Raw genomic sequence first — 1,282 nt, 5'->3', positions numbered from 1 at the left:
TCTAACGCTGGGTGAAGACAGCTGCCTTGCTCAAGGTCATGCCCTTCTGAGAATGGCCCCATCCAATGACTGAAGGAGACAGGGTGTAAAAGCCCAGTCATTTCAAGCCAACATAGGATGTTTTATCTCGAGTTTCCTGTGGGGTCTGCCAAGGCTGCCGTCAGTGCTGCATGGAAGACTGACCTCCCCCTGCCTATTCCTGTGTCCTCTCCCTCCCTTGGCCAGGGTGTTGACTCTAGGATCCTCTTCAACACACAACCTACCAGCTAAACTCCAGCTCAGAACTGGCTTCCCAGAGACCCTAACTGGCCATATCACATACTCAGAATTTCTAATAAGTGTAAGGAAGGAAATTAAACAAGGCCCTGTGATAGAGAGGAACTGCAGAGGGAACAGAATAGTGATGGGAGTCTTCTCTAGGTAGAATAGCTGTGACATTTGGGTTGATCTCAGAGAAGGAACTGGTCCTGTGATGAACTAGAGCAAAAGTTTTCCAGGCAGAGAAAACAGTGAAGAGCCTCCAGGATATAAAAGGGCCTGACACACTCATGGTATTCCTCTCTGTGCGAATGGAGAGGGAGGTGCATCAGAGAAGGCTCTATGGTGGAGAGGAACTTTGAGTAGAGGCTTGGATATGCATTGGTTGTTTCCAGGCATAAGAGTGGGAGTTGGGAAGAGGAAATCCTAGCCCAAGAGGACAGCAGACACAAAGACTTGGAGGTGAGAAAGGAATCCACTGTGGCTGGAGGGTGACGTTCAACTGTGGAAATGCAAGGAAATGGAGGTGGAAAAATAAGCTGGAGCCAGAATTCATAGCTACTAACTCTGTGTGTGTATGAGCATGTGTGTGCACACATGTTAAATGTTCTGAGAAGAAAATAAAGAGCAATGTTGTGAGAAGATTGCATGGGAGATCATTTGGAGGATCCAGCAGGAGCCAACAAATGCTAGATGAGGACAATGGCATGGGGCATTAAAAGGAAACCAACTTAAAAAATATTTTACAGAACTCAAACACAAGGTGGCTGAATGGGGCAGAGGGGAGATGTAGAAAATGAGCATGGGTTTTTCTGGCTTGGGTAACATAGGTTTGGGTTTTTCTGGTTTGGTGACCTGATGATGCCAAGGTAGGAGACATAGCAAGGGGAGCAGATTTGTATGGCAGAGGGAAGGAAGAGATGAGTTTTTGTCATGGGAACGCATCCATGTGGTGTCGGTTAGTGGGGGATTCTGCACAGAAGGGAGGGCCAGAGGTAAAGAACTGATGCTTGTTCATTCATTA

At 47.1% G+C, this 1,282-nt stretch overlaps 1 annotated feature.

Moving 5' to 3' along the window:
* Positions 1–170: an enhancer, noted in NCBI's record as "active region_1510". NCBI's record gives its function as "activates an Ori minimal core promoter by ATAC-STARR-seq in GM12878 lymphoblastoid cells {active_cell/tissue: GM12878}" and the evidence as "EXISTENCE:reporter gene assay evidence [ECO:0000049][PMID:35858748]".

The sequence above is a fragment of the Homo sapiens genome, chromosome 1, assembly GCF_000001405.40.
Source record: "Homo sapiens chromosome 1, GRCh38.p14 Primary Assembly".
NCBI lineage: Eukaryota > Metazoa > Chordata > Mammalia > Primates > Hominidae > Homo > Homo sapiens.
The sequence above is the reverse complement of the archived record's forward strand: the minus strand, read 5'-3'. Positions and strand labels throughout refer to the sequence as shown.